General features: G+C 44.8%; 1 protein-coding gene across 16 annotated transcripts in view, besides 5 other annotated features; it reads left to right on the forward strand.

Moving 5' to 3' along the window:
• Window positions 1–27,028, forward strand: part of DGKD (diacylglycerol kinase delta) — a 117,605-nt gene that overhangs the window by 48,842 nt on the left and 41,735 nt on the right. Inside the window, exon 1 of one of the 16 annotated variants that reach the window (XM_011512035.2) lies at window positions 4,715–5,716. The exons of 13 other annotated variants lie outside the window; for them this stretch is intronic. The gene's annotated coding sequence lies outside the window, so the exon portion shown is untranslated. Of the gene's footprint in view, window positions 1–4,714; window positions 5,717–10,859; window positions 11,380–15,876; window positions 16,087–27,028 lie in introns of those variants that run through there. 2 more of the 16 variants (XM_047446099.1, NM_001377259.1) reach the window with 2 other exon arrangements.
• Window positions 15,563–15,762: an enhancer, noted in NCBI's record as "active region_17346". NCBI's record gives its function as "activates an Ori minimal core promoter by ATAC-STARR-seq in GM12878 lymphoblastoid cells {active_cell/tissue: GM12878}" and the evidence as "EXISTENCE:reporter gene assay evidence [ECO:0000049][PMID:35858748]".
• Window positions 15,953–16,062: a silencer, noted in NCBI's record as "silent region_12471". NCBI's record gives its function as "represses an Ori minimal core promoter by ATAC-STARR-seq in GM12878 lymphoblastoid cells {active_cell/tissue: GM12878}" and the evidence as "EXISTENCE:reporter gene assay evidence [ECO:0000049][PMID:35858748]".
• Window positions 18,853–19,002: an enhancer, noted in NCBI's record as "active region_17347". NCBI's record gives its function as "activates an Ori minimal core promoter by ATAC-STARR-seq in GM12878 lymphoblastoid cells {active_cell/tissue: GM12878}" and the evidence as "EXISTENCE:reporter gene assay evidence [ECO:0000049][PMID:35858748]".
• Window positions 22,900–24,099: an enhancer, noted in NCBI's record as "MED14-independent group 3 enhancer chr2:234334881-234336080 (GRCh37/hg19 assembly coordinates)". NCBI's record gives its function as "activates an origin of replication core promoter dependent on BRD2, BRD4, P300/CBP and CDK7 cofactors, and independent of MED14, by STARR-seq in HCT116 cells {active_cell/tissue: HCT116}" and the evidence as "EXISTENCE:reporter gene assay evidence [ECO:0000049][PMID:35650434]".
• Window positions 23,368–23,662: an enhancer, noted in NCBI's record as "tiled region #11245; K562 Activating DNase unmatched - State 5:Enh". NCBI's record gives its function as "activates a minimal TATA promoter and a strong SV40 promoter by Sharpr-MPRA in K562 cells {active_cell/tissue: K562}" and the evidence as "EXISTENCE:reporter gene assay evidence [ECO:0000049][PMID:27701403]".

Here is a 27,028-nt window from a genome sequence, read left to right on the forward strand (position 1 = left end):
GATCACCTGAGGTCAGGAGTTCAAGACCAGCCTAGCCAACATGGTGAAACCCTGTCTCTACTAAAAATACAAAAATTAGCTGGATGTGGTGGTGGGCGCCTGTAATCCCAGCTACTCAGGAGGCTGAGGCAGGGAGAATTGCTTCAACCCAGGAGGTGGAGGTTGCAGTGAGCCAAGATCGCACCGTTGCACTCCAGCCTGGGCGACAGAACAAGACTCCATCTCAAAAATAAAAATAAAAGTAAAATAGGGAGAAAATGTTCCCACAGTAGCTCTGCAGTTGTTTTCTTTTTTCATGTTTCTCTTCAGACTTTTTTTTTTTTAGATGGAGTCTCGCTCTGTTGCCCAGGCCGGAGTGTAGTGGCGCGATTTAGGCTCATTGCAACCTCTGCCTCCCGGGTTCAAGCAATTCTCCTGCCTCAGCCTCCTGAGTAGCTGGGATTATAGGCGTGTGCCACCACACCCAGCTAATTTTTTTGTATTTTTAGTAGAGACGGGGTTTCACCATGCTGGCCAGGCCGGTCTCGAACTCCTGACCTCGTGATCCGCCCACCTTGGATTCCCAAAGTGCTGGGATTACAGGCGTGAGCCACTGCGCCCTTCCTCCCTTCAGACTTTTTAATAGGCACACATTAAATTTTACATGTGTTATATACATGTATAATTTTGTGTTTTGTGTTACAAAGTTAAATTTTGTGTTTTGTGTTACAAAATTACATTTTACATGTGTTATATACATGTATAATTTTGTGTTTACATGTGTTATATACATGTATAATTTACATGTGTTATATACATGTATAATTTTGTATTTTGGCTTTATTTGCTGTTTTATCATAAGATTCCCCATATCATGAGTCTCTGTAATGATCGTTTTTTATGGTGGCAGATATTTCATTGTGTAGATGTGTCATCACTGATCAGTTAAACTTTATTTGCTCACTCTTGCAGCATTAGGAACTGAGAATGTTTCAGTTTTTCCTGTTGGAGATAATGCTAGAATGTGCATTTCAGATCACAGGAGGGACATTTAGGGAGGTGAGTTTGTTCTCCCCTGCAGAGCAGCTTCCATGCTGAGCCCTGTTTGCCCAGGAGAGGGTGCAGTTTGCCCTTCAGGAGCTGCTTTGGTTTGGTCTTGGGTTCCTTTTTGTTACCTGCCCTGAGAGTTGAGAAGACAAAACTTCCTCCTGCTTTGGGTGATTCTAGTTTGGTTCTGGTTTACAGCTTTATTTTTGAGTATTTCTGTATTTCAGCTTCTATTTACTTTACACCATTTTAGATAGATCATCATTTGAACTTTCAGATATCCTAAGCCTCCAGAATCTCTAGAGGATTGGCATGTCACATAACTTTAAAAAAGCAATATCAAGAAGAAGTTGGGTTTGTTGAAGGGAAGTGGACAGATCAGGGGACTCTGGCTTATATGGCTAAGCTGGTGGAGGAAGACATGTGAGCAGACATTGGGTGAACGTCTGCTGTTCCAGTGGCACATCCTGGAATGAGGTTGGGTGGAGGGTAGGTAGAGAGCTGCCCCAGGTATGGAAGGTGGTAGAAGAAGAGTTGAGTACACACTTGCATGAGGGATGGGGCTGGTTTACAGGAATGGAACCAGCTTGGAAAGAAGACAGAAGGTGAGAAGTGAATACTTGTTGGTATCATGTAAGAACAGAGTGAAGAAAAAGGACAGGCCGGCCCTTGGTTTATTTTTAAATTTCAGGAAAATGGATTGGCCAAATAATGGGGATCAAAAATAAAGGGTGTTTTTATTATGAGCCAAGTGAAAATTAAATTTAAGATATGTATGTTGTTATGGTTTGATTGTGTCCTCCAAAGTTCATGTGTTGGAAACTGAAGCGCCAGTGCAACAGTATTGAGAGGTAGAAACTTTAAGAGGTGATCAGTGCTGGGTGCAGTGGCTCACGCCTGTAATCCCAGCACTTTGGGAGGCCAAGGCGGGCAGATCACCTGAGGTCGGGAGTTTGAGATCAGCCTGATCAACATGGAGAAACCCTGTCTCTACTAAAAATACAAAATTAGCTGGGTGTGTTGGCACATGCCTGTAATCCCAGCTACTCAGGAGGCTGAGGCAGGAGAATCACTTGAACCCAGGAGGCGGAGGTTGCAGTGAGCCGAGATTGTGCCATTGCACTCCAGCCTGGGCAACAAGAGTGAAACTCTGTCTAAAAAAAAAAAAAAGAAAGAAAAAAAAAGAGGTGATCAGGCCAGGAGGGCTCTGCTCTGGGGATGGATTAATGCTGTTATTGTAGGGGTCAGTTCCTAATAAAGGGATGAGTTCATCTCCTCCCCCTTGTTCTCACTGTCACCTTTGACGCAGCATGAAGCCCCTCACCAGATGCCGCACCATGCTCTTAGACTTTCGAACTATGAGGCAAATAAACTTCTGTTCATTTAAAATTATCTAGTCTGTGGTATTCTGTTACAGCAGCGCAAAACAGACTAAGACACATGTCTAGAGGGCTGCTTATGTGTAATAGCTATATAATACTGCATATATAAAGGGCAGTTTATATTTAATGCTGGTAGAATATCATGAAGGTAGTGTATGTTAGAGTTAGGTTTAGCTACTGTATTAGTTTCTCATGGCTTCCATAGCAAATTATCAGATAACATGAAACAGAAGAAATGTAATTCTATCACATTCCTGGAGGCCAGACATCTGAAATCATGGTGTTGGCAGGGCTGGGGTCCTAGGAGAGACTCTGTGACTTGCTTTTCCCAGCTCCTGGTAATTCCAGGCATTCCCTGGCTTGTGGCTGCATCGCTTCAAGATCTGCCTCTGTCTCCACATGGCCTTTTCTTCCTTCTTCTGTGTCTTCTCCTCTGTTTTCTTAAACAGACACCTGTCCTTGGATTTAGGGCCCACTCAGATAATCCAGGATGATCTCATCTCAAGATCCTTAACTTGATTACATCTGCAAAGACTGTTTTTCTAAATAAGGTCACATTCACAGGTTCCAGAGATTAGAACATGGACATACCTTTTGGAGGCCATCATTCGATGCCCTATAGCTACAAATAAGAATGGTGTGAACAGGCAAGGTTTTATTCTTTCACACCAAAGAAAGTAGTCCTTGGTGAGTATGGTCATTCTGCAAGGTCGACCGAGCCCTTCCAGAATGTGAGTCTTCTAGTCTAAGAGGCTATGAGGTGCTAGTCACCACTGTGTCTCCTGTTGTTGGACGGGGAGACGAGGAGAGGAGAAAGTGTGTTGCCTGGTAGGAGTTCATAACCAGGATTCATGGCCCCCTCAAAGCGGTCTGTGGATATGACTATATTGTATTAAAATTGGTTTCCACTGTAATCATAAGTATTTTATTTTTGGCACTTAGAGAAATTCTGAGAAGGAGTTCATAGGCCTCACCAGACTGCCAGAAGGGGTCCATGGCACAGAACAGACGAGGAGCTCTTGTATGACTTCTCCAAAGTGTGACATGGCACTTCTGCGGACATCCTCCCGGTTGATCTTTAGTTATGTGCTCATACCGTATAGCTCTCAGGATGCTTGCCCTGAAATAATCATATCAGAATAACCATGTTATGCAGAGAGAAGGGTGATTTTTCATGTCTGTATTTATGACTTCCTTTTCCCCAAGTAATATTTTTGAATAGTTTATGGTATCAAGAAGTTTGATGAAGTATATCATAAAGAAGGTCTTCCTTGTTAGCTGTGTGACCTAGGGCAGATACTTCATCTTTCTGAGACTCAATTTTCTCATCTGTGAAATGGGATAATACTGGACTGTATCTCAAAGGTCATTGGATTGGCACAGAAGTGCGTTCTGAATGTTTCCTAGTTTCTAATCTCCACCACCAGTCATCTCTACTAGTAGGAAAGTAATAGGGTTTAACTTGCTAACATGTAACAGTTATTCTGATTTATAGGAGTTTCAAAGGATTTCAAACGAGGCCAACTTTACAGATATATTAAAAATAGCTTTTGTAGCAGAAGAGTAGATATCCGGAAAAAGTTATCCTTAAAAGTTTTCAAGGTATAATCAATACAAACAGGAAAAATAAAAGTTAAGGGAAAACCAAGTATAATTTAACATATAAGATGCCTTTAATTGGTAGCTAAATAAAAAGGAAGCTATGTAATGGATCAGAGTATTGCGTTTAAATCTTGTCATGGCAGAGCACGGTGGCTCATGCCTGTAATCCCAGCATTTTGGGAGACCAAGGCAGGAGAATCACTTGAGGCTAGGAGTTTAAGACCAGCCTGGGCAGCATAACAAGATCCTGTCTCTACAAAAAATAAAAAAAATTATCCAGGTACGGAGGCATGCACCTGTAGTCCCAGCTACTTGGGAGGCTGAGGCGGGAGGATCACTTGAGCCCAGGAGTTCTAGGTTGCAGTGAGCTGTGATTGCACCACTGCACTCCAGCCTGGGCAACAGAGAGAGATCGTGTCTCAAAACATAAAATAAATCTTGTCCATGTGGCATTCATATTTGTTGGGTGAATGAAAGTTCCCTAGTAGGCCTACCTAGCGTGAAACTGTGGCTGAGTTTCTCAGCTGTTTCTAACAGACATCAGCCCAGAGGATGGTTAGGACTGCTTCTTGGGTGAGGAACCGTGATCTTTATCCAGATTTCATCATCAGTTTTCCTTTTTAGCATGTTTGGATTTCAGATATTTTCTGGGCAAAATTCCTAAGCCAGTTAACTTTGGCTCGGAGAGAGGAAAAACTGTTTTTTTTTTTTTTTTTCAGATGAGTCTCACTCTGTTGCCCAGGCTGGAGTGCCGTGCTGCGCTCTCAGCTCACTGCAACCTCCGCCTCCCGGGTTCACGCAGTTCTCCTGCCTCAGCCTCCCAAGTAGCTGGGACTACAGGCATGTACCACTACACCTGGCAAACTTTGTATTTTTAGTAGAGACAGGGTTTCACCATGTTGGCCAGGCTGGTCTCGAACTCCTGACCTCAGGTGATCCACCCATCTCGGCCTCATGGGATTACAGGCGTGAGCCACTGCGCCCATCCAGAGAAACTGTATATAATTGGCAAATGTCTCTGCATAAAAGACTCTTCCTAATTGCTGCAACTGCTGGCCCAGGTCTGGGACAGGGAGAATTGTATTTGTGGGTCCCAAAAGTCCTCTTGAGTGTGAAGTGTCTTTGCTCTTCCTGTTGGGAAGCCCCACGTTCGTTAGCAGCTCCTGCCCCCTGGGCTCACTTCTGCAAAGCAAGCCTGCCTCTATTTCTGCTCAAGTGCAGTGTTCCAGGAGAACCTGACTGCATGTCCCAGCTCTGCCAGCTCTCAGTGGTGGGTTCTTGGCCACCTGTAGCTTCATTCTCCCATCTGCCAATGAGGGTGGTCCTACCTAGCACAGCAATGGTGGGGCAGTCGAGCACCGGGCAGAGTAGGTGCTCAGTGAATGAAATACTGTAATTATTAACACATGCCATGGACAGCAGTGCAGGCCTGCGGGATCAGGTGCAGAAGGAAGTTAACCCAGTGAATTCCACACCTGGTAATCCACACTGTGTTCTCAGGTTAAAGAAGCAGGAGGAAGCAGGCATTGAGTCAAATTGGTGGCTGTTTGCTAAGTGTGGGGTTTTACTGAAGGCAGCACCTGCTTCTGCAGCACAGCTGGTCTGAAAAGCCAGGTTGCTCCTTGTGAGGGCTTAGGGGTCGGTTTTAACAGTCACTCCAAGCAGGCACAGGGAGAAGATGCTGTCCTCTTCTGGCAGCCTGGCTGGTGAGCAGTGGAACCAATTGTGGTGTCTCTTCTTTAGAGTTTGGGGTGGGAGAAGACGCAGTTACTCGTCTGGGCTGTTTGTTTAGATTATCAGTGGGGTTTGCATTTGTGAAATCTAAGCCATTTTCACCTTATGATTGTATGTGTTTGAAAAAGTATTTGTGTTGTTAACACTTGTTATACTTGTTAATTTTTATGAACAAGTGTAGCGTACTTGTTAATTGTCTTTATTTACAAATGGCAGAGAAAACAAAGTGGATAGTTGAGAGACTGTCATTGGATTATAGTAATTTAGTAAGGGAAAGAGTTCTTTGAGAAAAGACCTGGGGGGAAGATACATGGATTTGATTGAATTTTTTCCTAGGGTGCCTAGGCAGTGAATACTTTTTAGCCATCTTTACTCAGTATGCTTTTAAATGTGTCACGGTGTGATTGAGCCAAGTTCCGTCTGTCTGGTTTTTTTTTTTCCTTGAAAGTTACAAAAATGGTATCATTCTCTAGGAAATCATGTTAAAAAAAAATCCCACGTTCCCGTCCCAGAATAACCTGGTGTTTCACAGTACATAGTGGTAGGATCTTTTTATTTCCTTGAAACAACTTGTTATCAAATTAAGATAATTTCCTGCTCTGTGGTAGGGAGACTGCTGTTTATTGACCCAGTCCTTCCTCCTCACCACACAATTGAAGAACCTGGTTTGAAGTGTAAACCTAAAAAACATGTGATCCCCCCATACCGTTTTTTTTTTTTTTTTTTTTTTTTTTTTTAAGACAGGAGGAGGACTGTGGGAGTGGTTATCAGTAGATCTGTGCAGAAGGGTTGGCCCTGCAGACTGGGTCTGGTGTAGAATGTGCCCTGTGGGAGCTGCCTCCAGGCCTGTGGCTGGGTGTGTTAATCAGTGCTGGACTTCATACAGAAAAGTCGATGCTGTTTTCTTTTCTTTTTCTTTTTTTTAAATTTGGTAGAGATATGATCTCACCATGTTGTCCAGGCTGGTCAACATGATCCAATCCTCCTGCCTTGGCCTCCCAAAGTGCTGGGATTACAGGTGTGAGCCACTGTGCCTGGCCAATGCTGTTTTCTTTGTAGCTGAATTGTTCATTGGCTGCAAAGCTATAGAGGGTGGGTCAAGATAATTAGATGTTTGGAAAATAGTTAAGAGGGGGATTGGCTTCCACCCCATTCTTTGATTTTTTTTCTCTTTGAAGAAAGAGGGGGGGCTCAAGGGACACTGACCTTGGAGGCAGGAGCCTTGGGGTTTGTCCTGTGCCCGTCATTGACCGGGATCGCTTCCTTTTCTGTAAATCAAGGTCATGGGCGCAGCTGACTTGCCAAGGCTGTTGCCAGCTCTGCGCTGCCTTCTGAGGAACTTGATGGTTTGCTTCCTGTGAAAACTTGATGGTTTGCTTTAAGGTATCACTAGATACCTTGGGGTGATATCTAATCACACCAATGAAGAGATTGGGTATTTGTTTTTCCCAAATCCCTAAGTGCTGATTTCTCCAGGGCAGTACACAACCTCTTATCTTTAGCACTCACTTTGACTTGCATAAGTTTCCTGGCTTGGATGATAAGCTATATGGTCACCCTGCTTATTCAGAGAAAGGTTCATAGTGTTCTTTAATGACTATTCTAATACATGAAAACCATTTTTTGTGACTTGAGACATAATTGATGTACAATAAACTGCAGTATTTAAGGTGTACAGTTTGATAGTTTTTATACACACACACTTTCTCTCTCTCTCTCTCATAATTACACTGAAGCTGTCACCATAGTCAGGATAACATTTCCATCACCCTGAGAATTTCCTTGTAATCCTTCCTTCTCTGCCTCTTCACAGGCAAACATGGATGGATTTGTTTTCTGTCATTGTAGATTACTCTGCATTTTAAAAAGAATGCTATATAAATTGAGTAATGCAGCATGTACTACTTTTTTTTTTAATGTCTGGCTTCTTTCACTCAGCATAATGGTTTTGAGATTTTTCATGTTACGAATATCAGTAGTCCATTGTATGCATATTCCAGCATTTGTCTATTCTATTGGTGGGCATTTAGGTAGTTTCTAGTTTTGGGTTATTACTAATAAAACTATGAACATTTGTATACAAGTCTTTTGTGTGGACATATTTTCATTTCTCTTGGGTAAACACCTTGAAGTGGAATCGCTGGATCATATAGTAGGTATATGTTTAACTTCTTAAGAGGCTGCTAAACTGTTTTCTGAAGTGGTGATCCAATTTTATATTCCCACCAGCAGTGTATAGAGAGTTCCAGTTGCTCCACATCCTCACCAACACTTGGTGTGATCAGTCTTTTTAATTTTATGTGTCCTAATAGTTATGTAGTGTTACCCCATTGTGGCTTTAATTTCCATTTCCCTGATGACTAATGATGTCAACATCTTTTCATGTGTTTGTTGGTCATTTGTATGTCTTTTGTGAAATGTGTGCTAGGACATTTATCCATTTTTTTAATTGGGTTCTTATTGAGTTGTAAGACTTCTTTATGTATTTTGGATGTAAGTCCTTTGTCTGATACATGTGTTGTGAATGTTTTTCTCAGTCTGTGGCTTGTGTTTTCTTTAATGACACTTTTAGAACAGAAGTCTTTCTTTTTGGTGAAATTCAACTTATCAGTTTTTTAAATGGCTCATTCTTCTAGTATTCTATCCAGAAAACCCTTGTCTACCTCGGCTTGCAAAGATTTTCTTCTATAAGTTTTGTAGTTTTAGGTTTTACAGTTGGGATTATTATTGATGTTCTTCCCCCGACCCCCATATGGATATTCAGTTTTTGAGGCAGCGTTTATTGAAGATACATTCCATTCCTCATTTAATTACCTTTGCTGCCTTTTTTCAAAAGTCAATTAACCTTTTATTTTTGAGTCTCTTTCCAGATTTTCTATTTTGTTTTATTGAACTATATTATGTCTGCCTTTACTGAAATAATTCTACACTTTGTTGATTACTGTAGTTTTATAGGAAGTGTTGAAATTAGAGTCATCTTTGTTCTTTTCTAACATAGCTTTATTCTAAGTACTTAGCATTTTCATATAAATTTTAATATTAGTTTGTCAATTTCTATAAGTGAGGCCTGCTAGAATTTTGTTTGAGATTGTGTTAAATCTGTAGATCAATTTGGGGAGAATTGCTATCTTAATAACATTGAATCTTTAATGATGTTGAGTTTTCCAGTACATTAACACGATCTCTCTCTCTTTATTTAGGTGCTTTAAATTTATCTCAGCAGTGCTTTGTAGTTTTCAGTGTAGATGTCTTTAACGTCTTTTGTTAGATTCATTTCAATGTAATTTATGTTTTTATTTTTATTAACTAAATGGAATTTATAAACATTTTATATCTGTTTGCTGCTAATATATAAGAATACAGTGGATTTTGTGACCTTGCAAAATACTGCTTGTTTAATTCTAGTAGTCATTGTGTAGATTCCCTAGAAAGTTCTATATAAAGTTGTATCATTTGCAAATAGGGACAGCTTTACTTCTTCCTTTCTGACTCACATGCCTTTTATTTATTTTTCTTGCTTCATTGCAAAGGCTAAGATTCCAGTACAGTGTTGAATAGGAGTAGCGAAGGCAGGAATCCTTCCACCTTTTCCAGTCTTAACATGAAACAGTTCGGTTTTCATCATTAAATGTGATGTTAGCTGTAGGCTTTTTGTAGGTATCCTTTATCAGTTTGAGGATGTTCTTTACTTGATCGCTGACAGTTTTAATTATTAATGGGTGTTGAATTTTGTCAAATGCTTTTCTGCATTTATTGAAGTGAACACATGGTTTTTTTCTCCTTTATATTATTAAAAGGGCAAATTAAATTGGTTGATTTTCAAATTTAAGACAACTTTTCATTCTTGGGTTAAACCCTATTTGCTCATAATATGTTTTTTATTTATTGTTGGATTCAATTTGCCATTATTTTGTTAAGGATTGTTGCACCAATATTCATGAAGGTATTGATCTGTAATTTATTTCTCTCCCTTTCTTCCCTCATTTCTTCCTTTCTGCCTTTGTCAGGTTTTGGTACTTTAAAAAATAGAGAGTCAGGCCAGATGTGGTGGCTCACGTCCGTAATCCCTGCATTTTGGGAGGCCGAAGCAGGTGGATCACTTGAGGCTAGGAGTTCAAGACTGGCCTGGCCAACATGGTGAAACCTCATCCCTACTAAAAATACATATATATGTAGTGAGTCAGTGTTACCCCGCCTCTGTTTTCTGATAAAGTTTGTGTAAGCTTGGTGTTCTTTCTGAAATATTTGCTAGAGTTTACCAGTGAAATGATGTAGGTATGCAGTTTTTTTGGGGTAAAGTTTTTGATAATACCCTGTGATTTTTTTTTTTTAATGTTCAGATTTTTTGTTTCTTGTGTCTGCAGTGACATTTTCTGCATTCTCTTCCTTTTCCCTCTGATTTATGTCTGTTGGATGGAGAAGTAGAAACTTTATGAGAGAAGGGATATCATGGGGCTTGTTGATCTGTTTTCATCCCAGCGCCCCCGAACCATGCCTGGCACCAAATAGCCACACTGTAAATGCCTGTGGGGTTAATTGATTTGTTGTTGCTGTATCTCTATTCCTTGGCACCTCTGGGAAGCATTTTTGTCTCCCCCCGTCCACATGGGACCGTGTCGTCACTGTGCTGTGACGGGAGCTGGCTGAGTCAGGCTGGCAGGCTGTGGCTGCCCTGCATGCCGTGCCCTCCCACGGTGGCTCTTCAAATTCTTGGCTATGTGCCCAGCACTGGTACACAGACCCTCTGAGTCAGGGCTTGCCAATGGAAAAAATATTTTCAACCTTTTTTGGTCTTTTAAAATATTAAAACCTATAGTTGGAATTACTTCTTTTCATTTTTACAATGTACTTGAAGTATCAGAGGAATAAGGAAAGCCATTGTAAGCTTGGTTAGTGGAAAGGGATAAACCACCTCTGAGCATCCAAATAAAATTAGGAAGCGGGGGTTCTAGATGAGGGAGGACAATTCCAGGAGGCTCTTGACCTTGTATATGATTCCCTGACTGGGAATGTGGTCTGAGATGCCCTTTCCTGGACAGATTACAAATGACAGCCCCTGGAGCAAACACATGAATCAGCCAGGGAGTTAAAAAAGAACAGGGTAGTTTGGACTGGGCCTCTCTCTTTCAGGACATGACTGCTGTGGCTACAGACTGCATTCAGGTCCCCAGCATCTGGAAGGAGTCTGTGCCCACTTATCCTTTGCATCCTAAGGGGACTGGGTCTTTGTGCACCAGCAGCAGCCGTAGAGGTTGGGCTTGGGAATCAGGGGCTCCCTTATCAAAGCTGGGAAACTTAGAACAACAGCTGTGCCGCTCATGGACCTGTAGTCTCTCCTGTTAAGCAGAGTGCTGAGTTCATGTGATAGCAAACACAGCTCTGCCAGACCACAGGGTCACCAGGCAGGCACTCCATCCCTCCCTCCAGGGGGAGACCACGGCATGCCTTGGATGAGGTGACTTGGCCAACTGTCTTGTGGCCCCAGCTCCTGACATTACAATGTGATGACTGTGACACTTGGAAGAGAAATGTCTCAGGTATCGTGGTCCTGGGTCCTGTGGTACAGGACCTTGTCTCTGCGGTCCTGTACTTTTGCTTCACAATTAGAAGAATTGAAAGCTTCAGGTTGTTTCAGGTATGTTTTTTCAAGAAGTGCAATAGTAGTGTGTTTATAGATGTTTTCCTTAGAGTTAGTTTTGGGGGAGAGAAGATGACTGCCCTTCCATCCTGCAGGTGGATTGGCTGGGGAATGAGGCCATCTCTTTTCAGAGTGAGCAGTGAACCATTTTTGTCTGTACACTGACCTGGGGCTGATTTGGCATCCTGACCTTCCAGTCTGAGGGAGTTGGTAAGGGGCTGGAAGGGCCCATTCTTTGTGTGTGTGGGTATTTTTTAGAGACGGGGTCTTGCTGTGTTGCCTGGGCCGGTCTGGAGATCCTGAGTTCAAGCAATCCTCTTGCCTTGGCCTTCCGAGTAGCTGAGACTACAGGTACATGCTGGACCCACACTTTGGACTCTGTCCCTGCTGGCCTAGTTCTTTGCCAAGAGCAAAACTTGAGAGCACCCTCACACAGGTAACAGTTAGACCTTGTCAGGAGACATGGCTGTTTTCCCAGACAGCTGAGCTTTCAGACTAAAGCACAGAAAAGTTGGAGGACATGGGACTCCTTAGCCCACAAAAGAAACTCTATTTTAATTTTCCATGTGAAATAGGAGTAGGGTACGTTAGGGTAGGGCATCTTGGTTATGAGATGCCTGCAGCAAGTGCCATCAGGGTGGCTGCCAGCTGAGTCATCTCCCTCAAAGAGCTTTCCTGGAACCACTCTCCCCGGTGATGTCAGCTCCTTCACCTCCATTGCTGTCTCTAGCTGCAGGGGTGGTTGGAGACCCAGTATTTTAGCTAGGCCCTGCCAGAGGCCATTGGGATAGCAGGTCAATGGATGAAGGAGGTTGTATAGGCAAATGGGAGTAATTATCTCTGATCTTGATTTTTGTAGGAAATAGGCGTAGATTAAGGCATAGATAAATTTGAAAAGGCATAGATACATTAATTAATTAATTAGAGATGAGGTTTCACTCTGTCGCCCTGTCTGAAGTGCAATGGCGTGATCAAGGTTCATTGCAGCTTTGACCTCCTGGGCTCAAGTGATTCCCGCACCTTAGCCTACTGAGTAGCTGGGACCACAGGCAGGCACCACCATTCCCAGCTAATTTATAAATTTTTTTTGTAGAAACAGGGTCTCACTGTGTTGCCCAGGCTGGTCTTGAACACCTGGGCTCAAGGGATCCTCCTGCTTTGGCCTCCCAAAGCACTGATTGGCAGGCATGAGCTGCTGCGCCCAACCAGGCATAGATAAATTTAAAGACACCTTTTACTGTAGACAATTTGGAAAATAGAGAAAACCAGAGGGAAAAGAAAAAAAAGAATCTCTCAGTCCTACCACTTGATGTGTGAACCTCCAGTTTTCCCGGCTGCTTGTGTCCTGCCTTTTTTAAACACAATACGATGACATCAGTATGTCCCCCTTTCCCTCATTTATGTTTTATTGTGGTAGAATACTGTTTTATTGTGGTAGAATACACATAACATAAAATTTAGCATCTTAACCATTTTTAAGAGTACAGTATAAATATGCCCTTTTATAAATTACTTGTTTTTCCCTCCTCGTGTGGCTTTGTTTTCTGTGTGGTAGCCATTCTGTGGTTTACTTAACCACTCTAAGTATTGAACACACAAACAGGCTTGAATCAATTCATTTGAAAAGGTGTGGACAAGACTTTGTCCTAAGGGTGACACCTGGCCCAGCCAGCAGATGTGATTGTTCTGCCTTGGCCACCTTGCTCTGGGAAATTGTATTGCTTAGTCAGGTTGACCTTCAGTGACCAAAAAAGTGGATGGTAGTGTCAAGGGCTTCGGGTAGCTTATGAAACTCTTTTTCCTTCTCATCTTGTTACTTTCCTCTTGATACTTACTTGTTAACTACAGTGTTACTATAGACGCCTTTGGGTATATGCAGATTTACCATTAGTTAATCCCAGAGAAAAATGGATAAATTATGACAGCGTGGTGGCTGTCAGACTTAAGAATGCCAAAGCATTCCCGTTTCTCTCCCTCCACCCCATCCCTTCCAGACTTACTACCAGGGACCTTTGGTTTGCCTTTCCTTGTCACCAGGACTCCGAGGTCTTTCAGCTCCTTGTTTCTTCTGTTCAGTAGCTGAAGGATGCAGGTACTCTGCCCTCCTGCTGTGGTTTGTTTCTCTAGCGAGAAGTCCAGCAGCCCAGCTACTGAAAGCCAAGGTCACTAACGCAGGATGCAGTCAGCCCAGGAGGAGCACAGCCCTGGACATGAAGCTTCTGGTCTTACTTCTCCCACCTTCCTGCTACGGTGTGCATTGCAGCCGCAAGCTCTGCCTTGGAATTGCTTACTGTGTCTTAGTTCCTGTGTGCATTTTTTTATTTTTTATTTTTTTGAGACAGTCTTGCTCTGTCATCCAGGCTGGAGTGCAGTTGTGCGATCACAGCTCATTGCAACCTCTGCCTCCTGGGTTCAACTGATTCTCCCTCCTCAGCCTCCTGAGTAGCTGGGACTAGAGGCACCCGCCACCACGCCTGGCTAATTTTTGTATTTTTAGTAGAGATGGGATTTCACCATGTTGGCCAGACTGGTCTTGAACTCCTGATCTCAGGTGATTTGCCCACCTCAGCCTCCCAGAGGGCTGGGATTACAGTCATGAGCCCCTGCGCCTAGCCCCCCTTGTGCATTTTTTAAAAGGTGCAGTTCTGTATTTACTGTAGTGTTTATGTGGTAAAATTTGTTCATTTAAAAACATTTAATATTGCTGTTGTTCCCTTGATGCTTGGTTACAAATTTGCATAAGTTCTCAGTGGCCTGCCCCAGCTTACCTATTCCCATGGGACTTCTTTTTACTTTTATTGTGCCCTTTTGTAGAGTATGAGGGTTTTTAGGAACTCAAAAATTGCATTATGGCAAAAATACCTGGAAGGTTTTCCTGATGCTAAGATTCTTTTTAATTCCCCTTTTAATACAAATAACATGTATCATTATAGATAATTAAGTGCAGATAACCCAAACAAACAAAAACCACTCAAAAGTCTTATCACTGAGATTCTAGATTAAACACTATTATATAGACCTGCGATTCTCAAACATGGGTAGGGATAAGGCAGTGGGGGAGGTGAGATTGGCCTGAAGAGGACATTTGGGGACTCCACACTGGTTTGTCACAGTTGTGGGTATGGAGAGCAGGGGTACGTGCTGCTGACACCTAGTTGGTAAAGTCCAGGGAAGCTGCTCAGTGTCCCCAGAGGCACAACAGTGTTGTGCGACAGCCTCACAACAAAGAATTATTTGGCTCAAAATGTCAATAGTGCTGAGGTTGAGAAACCCTGATATGGACAGATAGTTATGGGGCCTTTTTCTGTGAATATTATTAAATACACTTTAGTTTTACAAAAATTTGGATTATTTATACAGACTAGTTTATGACCTGCTTTTAAAACTTATTACTTCATGAACATCTTTCTGTGTCCATGACTATGGGCCTGTGACATACCATTGTGTGAGCATGTTGGAGCTTACTTCACCAGCCCCCTGTCTGGAGACTGAGGTGCTGCCAGCGTTTTGCTATTGAAACCACATTTGTTTGTATTTTGCCTTCTGCATGCTGGTTGACTATGGCCAGCCCATGTTGGGGCACCAGCTCTACATCTGGGGTGCCTTTCATGGGTAATAATATTCCCTTCCTGCCAGAGGCCCCCCCGCCAACCATGGCAGTCCCCAATCTCTAGTTTTCTCACAGTTGAACATAACTCAAGCTTAATGAAGTACTGTTGAAATAGTGAATAGGTAAGTAACACAATATTTCTGTCACGTTTCATTTTTAAGTAGAACTTTCACTTTTTGCTTCATTTTACTTTATGGGTTTCTAAAAAAATAAATAAATTAAAACAACCTATCTTCTGGTAGGTTACATGTGACTTTAACTTCTTGCCAAGTTGGCTTTGCTCCATACCTGGGCTTCCTGAGTTCCTGGGGAGGCAGGAGTGGGTCAGATGGAGGATGCCTTGCTCTGACTGTGCTGTGGGTGGCACCTGTCAGTTGTCATGCTGGGGACCCCCTCCTTCCCCCCAAAGCTGCTCTGAGGCTGCAGGTGAGATGCAGCCCAGGAGAGGAAGTGCATGACAGCTGTTTGGGCCCACGTTCCCTTTTAGGTTGCAGACAGGGCAGCGTGCAGAGCTGGTGGGCTGGGCGGGGTCTGACACAGTGCTGTGCGGAGCTCACCCGGACCTGGGCACTCAGGCTCTTTCTATATGGGGAACTCCAAGAGCTTGTTTGTGTGGTGGTGTCTATTTTTGTGTTTTGTGTGGTGCTCTGTGAGGAAGTCTGTTGTCTACGCACATCCCAGCTGCTTTGAATGGTCTGTCTCTGGGGGCTTCCAGGTAGGGAATTGTGTACGGGGAATCCAGGATTCGGGCAGCATCGGAACAGCAGGATGTGAGTAACAGGAAGTGACAGAAATGACCCAGGGCGCCAGATGCTTATTCTCGGCCACCTTTCCAAGCGCTGCAGCCCAGGAGCTATATTTAGCAGAGTGTTTCCGAGTGCCTCATCCTGCCCCCAGCACCGTCCCTTTGCCCCTCTTTTGGTTGGTGGCTGATTGCACGGTACTGATTTGCTGCTCCAGCGTTCCTGCTCTACTTCGTAATCTGTAGGCTCTTGCCCATTGACTTTAACACCCAGTTTTTGTTTGTGCTGGGTCACTTCAATTTTGATACACGTGGAGCAGCTGGAAACTGTTCTGAGCAGGAAGGGCAGCAGGTAAGAGCCCCAGGGGACAGTGTGCCATCATACTGGGAGGCTGTTGGGTGGTGAGTTCAAGGTCAGGGTTTGGAATTAAGCGGAAGGAATTGAGCTTCCTTGTAAGATGCTCCAGAGGGTTGCTTCTTGGCTTGTATGTCTTAGAAATGGAAGGCTGGAATTTTTAAGGTATAGGCTTTGTGGTGTGACTTTACTCATGTGCTAGAAACATTCTGTGGTTCTCACCTGGCCAGACAGAAAGCTGCAGGTGGAAGAGGCTTGTGTGTGGTGAATTCCTACAGTCTGAGCTTTGTCACGGGAAAATTTCCCTCCAGTCCCCCAAAGCAAGCACTACAGAGCCCAGATTTGTTCTGCTTTGGGTGTGGGTGGATTTTCACCTTGTCTGTCGACGGTGCAGGACCTGTCCCTGTGTGCTTTGAGGTTTCTAGGGTGTGATGTTGGTTTGTGGTTTGTGGAGGGGTGTGTGTTGGGAGGGAAGGTGTTTTTGCTGTTCTCCTCTAAAAGCTCCCTTCTGAGTGGTCCCGCCAGGACCTCCCTTTCCTCCCTTCATGAAGCATCCACCTTGTTTTCAGACACTCGAGCTATTTGGGATTCAGGAATTGACTCTGGGATGAGAAATTTGAGAGACAAATTAGGAACAGTTGTGTCTGCCATGAGACGCGTGGCAGTCGGCAGGGGCCTGGTGGGGTGTATAAAAGCCCTGGGAACCCTGCATAAAGGGGTTGGGATGGTAAAGGAGTGAATTCCAGGCTCAGGCGCTCAGGAGATTCCCCTCCCCCAGTTCCCTCAGCAGAGTCTGGCTACTGGCATGGTTTCAGGCTGACCTGTTAACCTTCCGTATGGCTAAACTACAAATATAGGGCATGGCTATATTGTGTGTGTCTCTAGTTCTGGCTTGGGCATGTTAGCATATTTTTGTGCCAAAACATTTAAAACATTCAAAAAGTAACACATGAACCCAGCTATGACTGCTTCCAGCCTGAGAAATAAACATAATAGATATAACAGAGGCACTTGGAATTCTCTTTCCTATCCTCGTTTCTTCCTGCTCCCCCTTCCCTGGGGGCATCCTAACTTTGGTGTTTGTCATTTGTTTTCATGTTTATATACTTTTTTGATAAGTGTGTGTAGGCATAAACAGTATATAGCATTGTTGAACTGGTTCTGAAATGTCGAATAAATGTTATCAGACTGGACAGCCACAGCATTACGCTTCCTGGATTTATCCCTGTGGCTACATCTAGCTTTAGTTAAATGGTTCAAGGTTTAATACAACTGATTCCTGATTCCTGGAGTTAAATCAGAATTTCTGGGGAACGAGGCATGAACCGCAGAGCTCCTGACAGGCGCGGCCTGAGTTGAGGCCCACGATGCTGGTTTTCGTGGCCTCTGTAGTGTTCCAGTACCTAAGACGTCCTGTTGTGGACGTACACTTTCCCAGATTCCCTGTGATCAGTAGTGCTGCTGTGAATATGCTTATCTTCGTCTTCTTGGCACATGGGCAAGAGTTTCTCTAGAATGTGTTTCTAAGGATAGAATTGCCAGGTGTGTGCATCTTCAGCTTGACTGGTGATCGTCAAATTACCTCCAGAACTATCAGCAGCAGTGGTCACGTATGAGTGATCTCATTTCTATAGTGTCTTTAAGTTTTTCTTTTTTAACATACCAAACTGAGGGCAAGATGAAGACCTCATGAGTGAGATAAGACATTGGACATTGCTGAGACTTTAATCGACACCGTGCCCTCAGCATGTCCACACGGACCTGCTGGCCCTGCCGCCACCCCAGCTGTAAAGCTTGCTTCCACCCACAGTGTCCCCTTCCTGGGATGGGAGCAGCACCCAGCCAGCTGCTCGGAGGTCACTGTGGACTCCTCTCTGTCTCACCCTGTCCCGTCTGCTGTCCTCAGAGCACATCCAGAGCCTGCCCACTCTCCTCACCATCATCTCGTGATGGGGTTACTGAGGAGCCTCCCAAAAGGTTTCCTGCCTTCTTTCCTGCATCTTACTGTCAGCTTTCAATAAAGCAACCAGAATGATGCTTTCAAAACTTGAGCTTGCATGGCTTCTTATTTTACGTGGAGTAAAAGCCAAAGTTCTTACACCTGCATGGCCCTCTGTGGTCCTGATGCTTGCAGGTTGGCCCCTGGCCCCCTTCCTGATGCCAGCCCCAGCCACGCACCACGCGCCTGCTTCTGCTCAGCCCTTCCCACCTCCTTCCTTGCTTCCTTCCAGTCTCTGGCTCCTTCCTCGCCTCCTCCCCGTTTTTGCTGTGGAGTCCCCTGGCCCCCAGACCTCTCTTTTCTGGTCTCCCGTTTTTCCATAGGGCTTGTCACCAGCTACTACTCTCCATGCTGTGTAATTCACTTCTTTAATAAGTCTTTAATTTACTGCCTGCATTCAAATGTAACTTCCGCAGGAGCAGGAATCTTTTCTGTTTGCTCAAGTGAAAGACTGCCTGAATTTATTTCTGAGGAAGAAAGAAAGAATTTGGAGCCCAATGATGAAGATAGCACAGGAGAGAGGAGGTGAAGTTGAGGGAGCAGTTTCTGACTTGGGAGGTTGGGGGGATGGGACAATTACTGGTCTCTGGGAGGCAGTGGCAGAAGGACCTTGAGGCCCCCTAAGTGTGTAGTAGGACCCCCGAGGGGCATGGCCAGTGGGCTGTGGGGCTGCAGAGGCAGCTTCTTTTGGGGCCTTGTCTTGGCACCATCTCGGCCACTCCCAGAGCATACATTGGTATTGCCGTAGTGGGTGCTGGGCTGGCCCGCCCCACCCAGGAAGTGCACTACTGTTTGAGGGCAGGAGCCTGCGATTCTGACATCCTCTCTTCATGGCTGAGCTCCTCAGGTTACATAGCTCCACTGATTCCTCAAGCACTGTTGTGTTTAGAAATGAAACCTTCCATTTCCAGGGCCCTGCCTTGTGCAGGCTCAAGTACCCAGGCCACGTGTCAGAGCCCATAGCAAAATGAGCAGCTCAACCGGAGGGCGTGGTCCATGACACTCCTGCGTGTGCTTGGACTCAGGCGCAGGGACAGGCGGGGCAGCTGGCATTTCTACCCACCCCTCCTGACATAGAGGACCTGGTCCTTTTCTTTGAGAATGTGTACCAAAGGTGTGTCGGCTGTGTCCACATAATATTTTCTTGGCGTCAGATGTTTCATGGGTTGCACTAACTACAAATACAGGACTTTAGATAAGATTACACTTTTAACTTGCGCTGCCCACATACGCCCTTGTCCTTAAGAAACACAGCATTGTTCTGGAGTTACTCCTTGGTTTTCCCAGTTTAAACTTAAATATTGTTGATGGTGGTTACTTATTTTTAATTAAAGCTTTTATTTTGAGATTCTTTGTACCCTTTACCCAGTTGCATGCAGTGGTAACCTCTTGCACAACTCCAGTACAATGTCACACCCAGGATACTAACCTCGTTACAGTGGAGATGGGTAGCCTCCAAGCCGCAGAGATTTTCCTTGTGCCCTTTTACAGCCTCACACATGTCCCTCTGTAACCCCTGGCAAACACTCATCTGGTCTCCATTTCTATAATTTGGTCTTTTCAAGATGTGATATAAATGGAATCTTATAGTATGTAACCTTTGGGGTTGGATTTTTCACTCAGCGTAATTCCCTGGAGCCTCATTGAGGTTGATGAGTCTTATCAGTGGTTGTTCCTTTTTATTACTGAGTAGTATTCCACGGGTGTACCACAGTTTGTTAATCATTTACCCCCTGAAGGGCATCCGAATAGTTTCCAGCTTTTGGTGATCATGAATAAAGCTGCTGTAAACATTCCTGGGTAGGTTTCGGTGCAAACATGAATCTCCATTTCTCTGGGATAAATGCTGAAGAGTGTAATTGCTGGGTCATATGCTAGTCACATGCTTGGTTTTTTAAGAAACTGCCAAACCGTTTTGCAGAGTGGCCGTAATGTTTTACATCCCACCCAACAGTAAGATCCACTTTCTCCATATTCTCTCCAGCAGGTGGTGTTGGCACTAGTTTCTGTTGTAGCCATCGTGATAGGTGCGTAGGGCTCTCTGGTTGTGGTTTCAGTGTGTTTCTCTGATGGCTAAGGATGTTGAGTATCTTCTGTGTGCTTATTTGCCGCTTGCATATCCTCTTGTGCTGTCGGGGGTGAGGACTCATTTCCAGGTGGTATAGGAGACATCCCGGCTCTCAGCTTGGCCTCCTCTGGATACTCTGTTAGGTGAGTGCTGGAGTGCCTAGCTGCGGCCTGGGAGTGGGGTGGGCATGGTTTTTTCTTGTGGCGCTGGCTGGAGTAAGGTGGGTGTTACTGCCGTTGTCAGTTTCTGTCTTGTCTGACTGCCCCCTTCCTGGATCCTTGGCCTGGAAGAGCAGGCTTTTGTTGGGGCTTTCCACCCACCCCCCCAGTATCCATCACTGTTTTCGGCTGCTGCTTCTTTAGCTCCAAGTCTAGGGTATACCAGGTAAAAAGAAAACCCAGAGGGCCACCACAGTGTCATCCCTTTGGACAAGACCCTTGTCAGGCTGCCATCTTCTCTCTACCTTTCAGGGTCTTTTTGTGTTGATTTTCTGATGCCCATGGTTTTCAGTTCTCAGTGAGAGGAGTGGGGAAAAGTACCTCCCTGTCATCTGAATTTGGACCCGTGAAAAGTGAAGAGGGGGTCCATTCAGAATGTTGTGCCTCTACCCATCCCTGCTCGCTCGTCATGACCGTTGGACCGTTGTGGTCCCCGGGCCTCACATTAATTACTCTTAGGCCCTTTTGGTTTGGCCTGTGGTTTCAGCGTGACACAGTTTGCTGGACTTTGATCTTTTTTGTCATTTAAAGTGTCATTTATGAATGAGATCCACGTCCAGATCCCTGCATGTCCAAATTCATGGTTAGAAATGGTTGGACAGGACATAGCCATTTGGGTGCTGTGATTCAGCCTGATGTCAATCAGTGAACTGCCTTTGTCATTATCCTCCAGATCTTATTTCTCCACCTTCTATTTTGAACTCTTGGGAAACCTGGTCAGAGTGGGAGGGACAACTAGTCAGATGACTTAATGAGATGTTGGTATCGTCCTTGTGCTGATCCTCCAAGCCAGTCACCCTGCCAAAACGGAAATGAAATGTGCCAGACACCGCTTGTACTGAGTGAGCTTGGGAGAGCTCGTGGTGAGTGCCAGTTGCTTCCCTGCCTCCGGCCCACTGGCCCTGGTGTGAGGCACCACCCAGATGAGGAGAGGCTGCGGGATGGAGGTCCAGGGCTCCGCCTGGAGCCCCCCTGCCTGGTGTCCTGGCCACATCAGCTCATTTGCTGTGGGACTGTGAGCAGGCCCCTCAGCCGGGTTCGTCAGGTTGTGGAGAAGCTGAATGGAGCAGATAACCTGGAAAACACGCGGTGGATTGCCGAGACCTTCTTTGTGCCTCGCCCATATTAGCCAAACTGTCCCTTGTTCTATCAGCTGCCATGTGTGTGTAAGCCAGAGTCCACCCTCTTTTCCATTTGAGAAATCACGTCTGCATGTCTCCAGTATGTCTCCTTTTTCACCATGATTTCTCAGAGATCACTCCCTGCGGTTTAATAACCCCCTGGGCTAATTCTTCCCAGGACATGGGAGGACATTTTGTCTGGCTTGGCAACTCATTTAGAGTAGCAAGGTATTTTCTCATTTCTCTTGGAAAATCATGTACTTGAATCAAGAATAGAAGCCAAAATTGTTCTTTCAAATAGAATTTTAAAGCTTTTTTTTTTAATCCTTAACATATAAACGTAAGACTTTATTTTTATTTATTTATTTATTTTTAAGATGGAGTCACACCCTGTCGCCCAGGCTGGAGTGCAGTGGCGTAATCTTGGCTCACTGCAAATTCCACCTGCCGGGTTCACGCCATTCTCCTGCCTCAGCCTCCTGAGTAGCTGGGACCACAGGCGCCCGCCACCACGCCTGGCTAATTTTTTTGTATTTTTAATAGAGACAGGGTTTCACTGTGTTAGCCAGGATGGTCTCGATCTCCTGACCTCGTGATTTGCCCGCCTCAGCCTCCCAAAGTGCTGGGATTACAGGTGTGAGCCACTGTGCCCGGCCGACTTTATTCTTTTTTAATAGCTCATTTTTGGATTGGCAACACATGCAAGTGGTACAGAAATCTTAAGGCTAAAAAGATATAAAGTGTTTCCCAGCCACTCAGAGGTCCTCTCAGTTAGAGGTGACTAATATTAGTGTTTTCTCTGTACCCATACTCTTCCTGCAATTGGCTTTTATCTATTAACAGTGTGTCTTAGAGGTTGTTCCATATAAGAACATGTAGAGTAGCTTCAGGGGTTTTAGTGGCTGCATAGTTTTCTGTTATATGAATGTACTGTCATTACTGTAGCCAGTCTCTACCAGCCTTATATTGATCACTATTTGTTTGGTTTCAAATATTTTGTCTTTATAGTGAATGCCGCCACAAATAACCTTGTATATACAGTATGTGATTTCTCATGAAGATACAGGAGAGGATAAATTTATAGAAGCATGGTTGTTGAGACACAGGTGTATATTTTCAAGTCTGACAGATTTTACCAAATGGTTTCCATAGAGGTTGTATTAATTTTTGCCCCAGTGTATGAGAATCAGTAGACCATATTATAAAACATTTGATCTCTGTGAATCTGGTAGGTTAAAAAATGGGATCTCCTAATTTTAACTTGCATTTGCCTTATAAGACAGCGTTTTTTCATAAACGTTGAAAATCCATTTCTAACACTGTTTTAACATAGTGCTGCCAGACTCTCATATTCATGCTTCATATTTCATATTCATATTCATGTTTCCACCTTTCTCTCCCTGTCTCTTGTACAGTTATTTTCTAACCAGATTTTATGCAGGAGTCTGGGCAGCTCTGCACACTTTTCTTTTGAGTTATGTGGTTATGTGTTTTTGAGAAATCCCAAGTTCTGTATCCTTTTTGACTGAGGTGCAGCATTCACATGGAGGAGTGTACTCATTACAGACGCACAGCTTGATGCATGTTCCCGACCACGGAGAACACTGCAGCCCCCGGAATCCCTCCTGTGTGCCCCTCCTGTCAAAGCAGCTGCTAGGAGAAGCTAGCATCTAATACCATAGATTAGTTATGTCTGTTTTTTTAACTTTATGTAATGCATAAGGAAATTACACAGAGTATATGTCGTCTTGTGTCAGGCTTATTTCTTTCGCTGTTGTAAGATTCATTACATTATTGCTTGTCTCCCAATGTATGAGTATACTACAGTGTATTCACTGTAGGCCTGTTTAGAGTAGTGATGCTATGAACATTCTCGTATGCTTTGATGAGGAAGGTATGCGTTTGCATTTCTGTGGGATGCGTGGGTGGAATTGCTGAGTCACAGGGTATATACAAGTTCAGCTGTTTTCTGAAGTAGTTGCACCAAATTGCACTGTCACCAGCACTTGATACTGTCTGTTACAGCTCAGCCATTGTGAGAGATGCATCACCCTGTAGCTTTAATTTGTACTTCCCTGATGACTAATCAAATTGAGCACCGGGTCATGTGCTTTATTGGCCATTTGTGAAATAGCTATTCAAGTCTTTCGTCCATTTTACTATTAGTTTGTCTGCTCTTACTGATTTTTAAGTTCTGTTACCCTCAAGAGAATTCCAGCAGGTGTGTAAAAATTCACATCTGTCTATGGCTGTTCTAGCCTGCCTCAGGATTCTGTGAGAAATGCATCCACCATTTTATCCACTCCTCCTCTGTGACATCACGTTTCTTTCTCCAGTCATCAAGCATCAAGATCTGAGGATATTTTCTCTCTCCAGTGTGTAGGTTTCCATGCAGTCACCTCTGATGCAGTTCTGCTCCTTCTCTTGGTGGGACGTCCTGCAGCCTGGCCTTTTGAATCCCTGGGATGTCATTCATTTGTCCTGTTGAGTTCAGTTTATTGCCCTGCTTTTTTTTTTTTTTTTTTTTTGAGACAGGGTCTCACTCTGTCACCCAGGCTGGAGTGCAGTGGTGCAATCTTGGCTCACTGCAACCTCCGCCTCCCAGGTTCAAGTGATCCTCCCAACTCAGCCTCCCAAGTAGCTGGGATTACAGGTACATGCCACCACGTCCAGCTATTTTTTGTATTTTTAGTTAGAGATGGAGTTTTACCATGTTGGCCAGGCTGGTCTCGAACTCCTAACCTCAAGTGATCTACCTGCCTCGGCCTCCCAAAGTGCTGAGATTATAGGCGTAAGCCACTGCGCCCAGCCTTATTGCCCTGCTTCTGATTTGCAATTATCTTTTAAGTTGATTCAGGGGTGTGAACTGTTTCTTATTTAATACATTTGCTTGAAAAATATGAGCCATCTTTTAGTCTCCAAAGACTTTTCTTTGTGAAGGCTGGATTTTGGAGATAGTTTCAGCTTTTTTACACCATTCCTTGGTTGCCAGTAGTTATGATACTGGCTGCAGTCCAGACATAGGGATGCTCTTAGTATTCCTTAGAGCATCTCCCTGCACCCTGCCACCTGCCCTGGTGGGCAGGGTGAGCAGCCAGGAAGGCATAGCCTGAGGGCCTGTATCTAGCCCCTGCTTTCTCGCCTGGGTCCTTCCTACCCATGCTGTCTCCCAAATCAAGGGATTGAATAGGAAGTGCTGCTCAGAACATCCCCCAGAATCAGCCTCCCGAAGAGACTCACCCTCCCCTACCAGAGGTTGGGCTGTGGCTGGTGTTAGGGGAACAGGAGTAGGAGGGGAGCCAGAGGAGGAGGAGGTGGGCCCTTGCCTAAGGGGTGCCTGCTGGTTGGTGTGGGGGCTGGAGCTCGCCAGGAGGGGTGTGCTGAGAAGATGGAGGCATGGCATGGAAGTGTGAGTCATGGCAAATCTCCTGTGTGCAGCTGGGGACCGACATAGAGAAGGCAGGCCCAGTTGTGTCCCCTCTGTGGGCAGCTAAGAAGGATGGATTCTGACTTATTTGGTGGGACTCTCCTGTGACATTTCTTGTGGTTTGGGAGAGTGGACCACTGATACCAGAGCAGTCTTAAGAAAGATGCTCACATGGGAAAGGGGTCTCAGCAGTGTCAAATGATGACATCAAAGCTGAGGGCTTCGACCCCAAGGTAGCACCGATAGTGACAGTGCCCAGAACATTATCAGGTTGCACCAACTGGCACCTCACAACAACAAGGCTAGGATGCGACACTGCTCTTAATAGCTCCGGTTTTCAGATGGGGCAGTGGAGGCACAGGGCGGAGAAGCACCTGCTCTAAGTTACACAGCTAGCAAGGGCTTCAGACTCAGGGAATGTGCCAGGCCCTGTGCACATTTGGTCCTGTTCAGTCCCACCACAGCCCTGCAGGTTGCTTCTAGCATCACTTTTCTTGACGAGAAGCAAAGAGGGTCTGCCCCCATTTCGCAAATTTATCAGTGGCCAGGTAGGATTCAGATCTGGGTCTCTCTCAGGCTTCTTCACAACAGAACAGGCACAAATAAGAGGTTTTTTTTTGTTGTTGTTGTTGTTGTTCTGTTTTTTCCTTAGAAGCCAAAACCCAGGTTCTCTGACATTTATCTGTTGCTCAGTGTTTATTGTCTGCAAACAACAGCACAGGTGAAGGCAATGATGCCATTGGTCACTTGTATCTTAACTCACTGTCTTTAAACCTAATGCTTTTGTCTATAATTTGCTGTCTAGTAGTGCCCAATACCCACAAAGCAATTCTAGTACACCCTCTCCTTCAGTGTGTGGGTCAGGTGGGCCCAAAGATCCATCTTCTCAAACGCTGAGGCTGAGTTCTGGAGCAAAGTTGGCACTTCAGCTCGTAAAGGCTGCCGTGGGAGTAGTAGACTCAGGACCTAAAACATCTCCTTGTTGTCTTCTATAAATATCCTGTTGCATGACTCCTAATATAATCCCCGAGTTATGCACAGTAAGGTATATTATCTTTCTCTTACTATATTTACTATGCTGACAAAAGTGTTCAAATATTAAAACTCACCCAGGGTGAACAGTTCGGGACGTGTGCTCAGACTTGATAGGTAGACAGGGACGGTGCCGATGACATGCACCCACTCGGCCTTGGCAGCTCCCAGTCTCCCATGACCGTCCCTCAGTGGCTGTCCAGAGACTCCCTGAGTCCCACTCTCAGGGCCCACTTTGTCGTCTTCATGGCTGAGTCAGTGTGGGAAATAGTTATCTGCCTGCCTCTCCACGCTGTGAGTTCTGTGAGGGGAGGAACTTTGCTCACCATGTTGTTAGAATCCCCAGTCTAGAGGAGACACCTAGCCAGCATCTGCTGAGCCGGGGGGTGTCCTCTGGAGGGAGAGGGGCTGTTTGTGGTGCTCTCAAGCTTGAACAGCAGCAGGGCAGAAGGCAGACGGCCCCTCCGGGCCTGCCTTTGCCGTCTCTCCTTCGCCCTCACTCTCTCCCAGCTCTGCTGCTTCCCACGCCCAGCCCGGCCCCAGGTGTTCTTCTCCCACCAACCCAGGATATGTGGAAGAAGAAGCGAACCATGCAGTGGCGACCCAGTTCCATTTATCCCCTCTGCGGTGAAACTTAGTCACTGGAGAATCTCCCTGTAAAGCACTTTCTATGGTTTCTGAGCCAGAAACATGGTCATTTAATAATTTAAATTGGGTATTCCTAAATTGGGTCTTCTTAATGTAAATTAAAGCTATGAGATGTGCCGAAATCTAAAAGTTAAATAACATATTTTGTTTTTGAATCCATGGGGAAGCAAGCATTTTCCTAACACTGTTGGTGAGAATGCAAAATGGTACAACCCCTGTGGGAATAATTTGGCAATAGCTAGCAAAATTACATGTGCATTTACTCTTTGTCAGGGCAATTCTACTTCTAGGAATTTACCCCAGAGATACACTGGTAAAAACAGGAAAAGATGCTTGTAAAGATAATTCACGGCAACACTATGAGAAATCGCAGAAGAATTTTAAACAGCACAAAATTCCCATCCATAGGGCGCTGGCTGAGTCCTA

The sequence above is a fragment of the Homo sapiens genome, chromosome 2 (genome assembly GCF_000001405.40).
Source record: "Homo sapiens chromosome 2, GRCh38.p14 Primary Assembly".
NCBI classification, from domain to species: domain Eukaryota; kingdom Metazoa; phylum Chordata; class Mammalia; order Primates; family Hominidae; genus Homo; species Homo sapiens.